The sequence below is a fragment of the Homo sapiens genome, chromosome 2 (genome assembly GCF_000001405.40).
Source record: "Homo sapiens chromosome 2, GRCh38.p14 Primary Assembly".
Taxonomy (NCBI): domain Eukaryota; kingdom Metazoa; phylum Chordata; class Mammalia; order Primates; family Hominidae; genus Homo; species Homo sapiens.
The window spans coordinates 155,226,294-155,234,025 of NC_000002.12; the positions used below are offsets into that span (position 1 = coordinate 155,226,294).

The window sequence follows — 7,732 nt, forward strand, 5'->3', positions numbered from 1 at the left end:
GTCACTGGTCATTAGAGAAATGCAAATCAAAACCACAGTGAGATACCATCTCATGCCAGTCAGAAAGGTGATTATTAAAGTCAGGAAACAATAGATGCTGGCAAGGCTACGGAGAAATAGGGACGCTTTTACACATTTGTGGGAGTGTAAATTAGTTCAACTACTGTGGAAGACAGTGTGGCGATTCCTCAAGGATCTAGAACCAGAAATACCATTTGACCCAGCAATTCCATTACCGGGTATATACCCAAAGGATTATAAAACATTCTACTATAAAGACACATGCACACGTATGTTTATTGAAGCACTGTTTATAATAGCAAAGACTTGGAACCAACCCAAATGCCCATCAATGATAGAACAAGTTTTGAGATTATATGTTACCTTTATTTCTGGCCTTTCCATTGTTCATTTCTCAGTCATTTCATTGCTTATTAACAACAGAGGGCTTGAAGGGAATAGACCCTGTTGTAAAGTGAAATCAGAAAATGCTGCTATTTGGTCCTTTTAAAACCATAAGAGTATGAAACAGATTAAAATGAGATCTATGAACTAATCATGGTGGATTAATAAGATTTGGCTATGAAGACTGCAGAGCATCTTGGTGAAAATTTCCTTCTCAATACCTAACAATAATGTCACAAAAAACTTTGAAATATAAACATAATTATATAATTCTTGATGCATTTAGTCATTAGAATTTTACCTAATAGGGGGTTGGGTACAGTGGCTCATGCCTGTAATCCCGGCACTTTGGGAGGCCGAGGTGGGCAGATCACAAGGTCAGGAGGTCAAGACCATCCTGGCTAACACGGTGAAACCCCATCTCTACTAAAAATACAAAAATTAGCCGGGCGTGATGGCAGGTGCCTGTAATCCCAGCTACTCGGGAGGCTGAGGTAGGAGAATCGCTTGAACCCAGGAAGCAGAGGTTGCAGTGAGCCGAGATCGTGACATTGCACTCCAGCTTGGGTGACAGAGTGAGACTCCATCTCAAAAAAAAAAGAATTTTGCCTAATAGGAATTTAGTGTTGGTCCCTAAGGAAAGCCATGCATTTAAAGACTGATTGTAATTGAATCCCTAAACTTGAAACAAAGTAAGCAAATGATAAAAGAATTCATTCTAAGAAAATATGACTTTATCTGATTGTGATATAATATAGAGACATATTACCTAAATATGCAGACATATGATGTATGTATTCATAAGTCCTATTAGTATTTATAATACAATTATATTTGAGTACCATAGTAACAAACACAGACATGAATAAAATATGCCAATTTGATTTATAGGCTTATACATAGAGTAAGTCATAATATAATTTTTGAATAGATCTTTGCTTTGTATGAGGTAAGATTTGGATTGGTAAAACATTTTGTGTTCATATAATTTGAATGCTCATTAATGACAGTTCAAGAATTATAAAAATATTAATATTTTCTAAATGGAACATCATAAAAATTGTCTAATGATCTTTGTATGGCACCATTAGCATCTAAAATATGTGTGTGTATATAGAAAACACTTTTTAAATTATACCTTAAGTTCTGGGATACATGTGCAAACTGTGCAGGTTTGTTACATAGGTATACACGTGCCACAGTGGTTTGCTGCACCCATGAACCCGTCATCTACATTAGGTATTCCTCCTAATGCTATCCCTCCCCTATCCCCCCACTCCCCAACAGGCCAGTATGTGATGTTTCCCTCCCTGTGTGCGTGTGTTCTCATTGTGCAACTCTCACTTATGAGTGAGAATATGTGGTGTTTGGTTTTCTGTCCCTTTGTTAGTTTGCTGAGAATGATGGTTTCCAGCTTCACCCATGTTGCTGCCAAGGACATGAACTCATCCTTTTTTACAGCTGCATAGTATTCCATGGTGTATATGTGCCACATTTTCTTTATTCAGTCTATCATTGATGGGCATTTGGGTTGATTCCAAGTCTTTGCAATTGTGAACAGTGCTGCAATAAACATACGTGTGCATGTGTCTTTATAGAAGAATGATTTCTAATCCTTTGGGTATATACCCAGTAATGGAATTGCTGGGTCAAATGGTATTTCTAGTTCTAGATCCTTGAGGAATTGCCACACTGTCTTCCACAATGGTTGCACAAATTTACACTCCCAACAGTGTAAATGCATTCCTATTTCTCCACCGCCTCTCCAGCAACTTTTGTTTCCTGACTTTTTAATGATTGCCATTCTAACTGGCCTGAGATGGTATGTCATTGTGGTTTTGATTTGCATTCCTCTAATGACAAGTGAGGAGCTTTTTTTCATGTTTGTTGGCTCCATAAATGTCTTCGTTTGAGAAGTGTTTATTCATATCCTTTGCCCAATTTTTGATGTTTTTTTTTTCTTGTAAATCATTATTGGTGTGTAGAAACACTACTGGTTTTGATTTTGCTACCTGCCATTTTACTAAATTCATTTATCAAATTCAAAAGAATTTGGTGGAGTCTTTAGGTTCTTTCAAATATAAAATCATGTCATTAGCAAACAGGAATAATTTGACTTCCACTTTTCCAATTTAGATCCCTTTTATTTTTGTATTTTTCTTACCTAATTGCTCTAGCTAGGACTTCCAGTACTATGCTGAATTGTAATGGTGAAAGTGAGCATCCTTGTCTTGTTCCACTTCTTTCCAAGAATGCTCTTGACTTTTCCCTATTCAGCATGGTGTTGGCTGTGGGCTTGTTGAATATGGCCTTAGTTATTCTAAGATTTGCGCCTTCTATGCCAAGTTTGTTGAGAGTTTTTATCATGAAGGGATGATGAATTCTATCAAATACTTTTTCTGCATCTATTGAGGTGACTATATGGTTTTGTCTTTCATTCTGTTTATATGATGTATCACATTTCTTGGTTTGCAGATGTGGAACTCTCCTTACATGTCTAGTATAAAGCCCACTTAATTATGGTGTATTATCTTTTTGATATGCTGTTGGATTTGGATTGCTCATATTTTGTTGAGGATAGTTGCATCTGTGTTTATCAGTGATATTGATCTGTAGATTTCTTTTTTTATCATGCCCTTTTCTAGTTTTCATATAATGATGTTACTGGCCTCGTGGCATTAGCTAGGGAGAATTTCCTTCTATTTTTGGAACAAGATTCTTAACTACAACTAAGCTATGCGGGCCTATCAAGAATGAATTCAAGTTCGAGACATCATTAAGAAGAGGGCTCAGAGGACTAAAGTTTGGTGAAGGAGAGAGTCTGTCAGTGTCTGGATTTTAGAAATGTGTTATAAGCCTGATCATTACTCTTTTATTTTGATTTTATATGTACAGTATTATATTGCTGTAAACACTGCCTTCTACATTCTAAAATTTCTGAAACAGGGTTGCAGCTAAATATTGAAGTGTACTTTTAATGTTACAGTCTTTCTTTTTCTGGAAAAAATATCATAATACACGAACAAAACAAAATATTCTTAAAATTTTTTAAATGATACTTATTCAGTATCATAAAATTCTTCCCTATTGAAAATGTAAAAAAACTTAGAAATGTTAAAGCTGATTATCACATATAAAAAATAAGAGATTTGCCTACTAAACAAAGCAATCTTTAATATAAATTCAAGATTACATTTTTTTTTTCTATCGAGTGGGTATGGTAAACACAGTAAGTAGTTAAGAATACTGTCTTTAGAGCCATAAGATGAAGTTTTAAATTCTTCATCTGATGAGTGCCTCTTAGAGGATGTAAGCACCATCTTGGAAAAATGCCCCAACCATTTTAAGTATCAAATGTAATATAAGGATAATATATTATTTCTAGGATTGTGGTTAAAATTGAACATAATATCTTTTGAAAAACAGTATAGCATTTCATTAATACTAAAACCTCAATATATGTTTAATTATTAAGATCAATCTGTGATGGTATTATTTGACCATGAATAAAAATGTACTTTAAACGTCTAAAGGATCATTGTAATATATAGATCATTGTAATATAGATGTTTACCAATACTTCATGTTTGCATCTATGGAAAAGAAATAGATAAGTTTATCTGACTGCAGAAATAGTAGAATTCATCAAGAAGTGATTAAACATTGAAAGACACACTTCCCATCAACTCTTCCTCCAGAAGCTATTTACGTCAAAATATATCTCTCTGTCCAGAAACATTTATGTCTATGCATTTTCAGATAATTGCCTGAACCCGTACTTTGAATTTTCTTTCTACGAAGTGTGCAATGTATATGGTCCCTGGTGAAGCTGTGATGACTGTGAGTGAGAATGAGAATCCGGTACCACCAGAAACTGGTCTGTATGCTATACTGTAGAGGACAAAGTTGGCTGCTAAATAAAGAAGCATACAAAAAATTAAAAATTAAAACCAATCGAAAGGAGCTAAGGCAAGCTCTGCAACTAGCAACTAAAAATAACTTCTAAAGAAGGTGAGGGCTGGGAAAATCCGCTGAGACAATGTTACAAATCTAGATTTGAAGTAGAGAGACTTTATAAAATGCCAGTGGAAGAGCTCTTGGTTAGATAGAAGGCTGTTATGGACTCTGAACTAGTCAGACAAGTTAAACAAGTGTTAGTCTTAGGAAAAGGGTATAATAATTATAACTACAAGGTATTGAAAAATGTTTCACTCATCATTGAACAAGAAATACCTTAAAAAACAGGACACAGCTGTAATGTTAAACTTTGTTCTTTCTCTAGGAAGAAAATAAAATGAAATGCATTAAGGGGATGCATGTGTGACTTCAGCGAACAATTTCAGCAGAAAAACTTGCCTGATATTAGCCAACAAGACTGGAAATTAAGAAGGAGGCATCATCCGGTTTCGGTGGCTCATGCCTGTAATCCCAGCACTTTGGGAAGCTGAGGTGGATCACGAGGTCAGGAGATCGAGACCATTCTGGCTAACACGGTGAAACCCCGTTTCTACTAAAAAAACAAAAAAATTAGCCAGGCGTGGTGGCGGGCGCCTGTAGTCCCAGCTACTCCGGAGACTGAGGCAGGAAAATGGCGAGAACGCGGGAGGCGGAGCTTGCAGTGAGCCAAGATGGCGCCACTCCACTCCAGCCTGGGTGATCGAGCGAGACTCTGTATCTAGAAAAAAGAAAAAAAAAAAGAAAAAATGAAGAAGAAGGAGAAGGAAAAGGAGAAGACGACGACATTGAGGCCAGGTGCAGTGGCTCACGCCTGTAATTCCAGCACTTTGGGAGGCCGAGGTGGGTGGATCACCTAAGGTCAGGAGTTTAAGACCAGCCTTGCCAACATGGCAAAACCCTGTCTCTACTAAAAATACAACAAATTAGCCGGGCATGGAGGCACCCGCCTGTACTGAGGAGCTACTCAGGGGGCTGAGGCAGGAGAATCGCTTGAACGCAGGAGATAGGGGTTGCCGTGAGCCGAGATCACGCCAGTGCACTCCAGCCTGGGTGACAGAGTGAGACTCCGTCTCAAAAAAAAAAGGCATTGAATTTGCTTAAGTAAATTTACAATTTATAATAATTTATGGTATGCTTTTGGCTTAAAAGAAGTGAGGTTCGTTTGGTTTGGGTTTTAAAATTTCAATTGTGTGTCAAATTATGTGCATGCCAATACTTTTTCTTTGTTCATAAATTACATTCTTAATGCATGGGCTTCTCGCTTTAACTTTACCCCTCTGGCTCATGTTAATGCGGATTCCTAATTTTCCACTTCCATTAATTTTAGTAGCTACATATATCATGACACAGTTCCCACTACCTCTTTATTTATTTCACTTCCCAATGCACCCTTCATAAGCACTTGCCTGTCTTCCCTTCTTCTATGGGGTCCTTGAACATAATTTTCTCAATCAAGCATGTTCTTAACAAACTAACAAGATACATTTTCATTTGTTTGATATACTTTGCTTATTTTGTTTTGGTTTTCCCAGATAATTTCTGCTTCAGGCCTCACTACACAGACCAGCCTGAGGCAAAGGTAAACAAATTAATGTGAAAAAGGAAAGGAAAAAATACATGGAAAACAGAATACAAATCAGCATTTCAGCACATTATCCTGGCCTTCTTGTTTGCTTTGGTATCTGAAAGGAAAATTTCTTATTTCTTCTCTGATCAACTATTACTCTCACTACTTCACTTCTGATACCAAATGTGTGAGCTTTTTCTAAAAAATTCAACTTAATCCTCTGGCAAACACCAACTGGGTGTCCTATGGTTTAATTAAATTCTAAAACTAACCAGAGTTAGCACAGACCCCACAGGCAGGTTAAGAACTCAGTCTTAGAAGACTGGCTTCTATTTCCAATGTCAGTCACAAGTCTAAGTTGTCACCTGTGCTTCTGATTGACTGGGGCCCCTATAAATTGGAGGTTCTCATAAACCCCTCCCCAGGCACAATAATTTGCAAGTATGGCTCCCAGAGGTCTGGAAAACAATTTATTCACTAGATTACCAGTTTACTATAAAAGGGTACAACTGAGGAACAGCCAGCCAGGAGAGATGCATAGGTATCTTGAAGAGAACTTTCATGCTTTCTCAGGTGCACCATCCTTTCATGACCTCCATGTTTTCACCAACCTGGAAACTCTTAAAGCTCATCCTTTGGGGTTTATATGGAGGCTTCATTAAGTAGGCATGATCAATTACACCATTGGCCATTGGTGGTTCAATCAATCTCTAGCCATTCTTCTCTCCCTGAGGTGAGTGTGGAATGGGGATGAAGGTTCCAACCACCTAATCACATAGTTGCTTCTCCTCTCAACCAGCTAACCATCTTTGGGGGCTTTCCATAAATGGCCTCATTAACATAAACTTAGGTCAATTGAAAGGGTCTTGTTATGAAGAACATAACAATTCTCCTTTTATCTTTATCACTTTTATCACTTAGGAAATTCCAAGAGTTTCAGGAGCTCTGGGCCACAAATGGGACAAAAACCAAATACATGTTTCTTATTATAAATCACAATATCACAGTCTTATTTAAAGTAGGGTGACAGCTTTGACTCAAATTAGCAAAGCCTTTCCTTAGGACCTAGTGGGCCCTTTTGATCCAAAAGGTTTCTACTTTCTATTTGATTGTTGGCATTACTTCATGTGATCCCTTTACCTTCTGCATTCATATTATACATATATTAGGTCAATGATGAGTGATCTTCACATTTCCTTTTCTTTTCATCATCAGAAATCTTACTGGCCTGTTTCAGTTTTTAGCGGATTTCTTGAGATAAACTTTTACTTCACTGAATCAATTTTACTCTTTTCTGCTACTTAATAGCTCCCATTAAAATACTAAATATTTTAATATTTTTAAATATTTGTTTATTTATTTTTGAGATGGAGTCTCTCTCTGTCACCCAGGCTGGAGTGCAGTGGTGGGATCTTGGCTCACTGCAAACTCCGCCTCCCAAGTCCAAGAGATTCTCCTGCCTCAGCCTCCGGAGTAGCTGGGATTACAGGCATGCACCACCATGCCTTGCTAATTTTTGTATTTTTAGTAAAGACGGGGTTTCGGCATGTTGGCCAGTCTGGTCTTGAACTCCTGACCTCAGGTGACCTGCCCATCTCAGCCTCCCAAAGTGCTGGGATTACAGGCATGAGCCACATTAAGTGATTTTTTAAAATTTAACTATTTTAATCTTTATTATTATTTCCTATCAGAATTTTTTTGTTTTGTTTTGTTTTTTATTTTTTTGAGACGGAGTCTGGCTCTGTCCCCCAGGCTGGAGTGCAGTGGCACCATCTTGGCTCACTGCAAGCTCCACCTCCTGGG

General features: G+C 37.4%; 1 annotated feature.

Annotated features, from left to right (window-relative positions):
* Positions 4,399–5,598: an enhancer, noted in NCBI's record as "MED14-independent group 3 enhancer chr2:156087204-156088403 (GRCh37/hg19 assembly coordinates)". NCBI's record gives its function as "activates an origin of replication core promoter dependent on BRD2, BRD4, P300/CBP and CDK7 cofactors, and independent of MED14, by STARR-seq in HCT116 cells {active_cell/tissue: HCT116}" and the evidence as "EXISTENCE:reporter gene assay evidence [ECO:0000049][PMID:35650434]".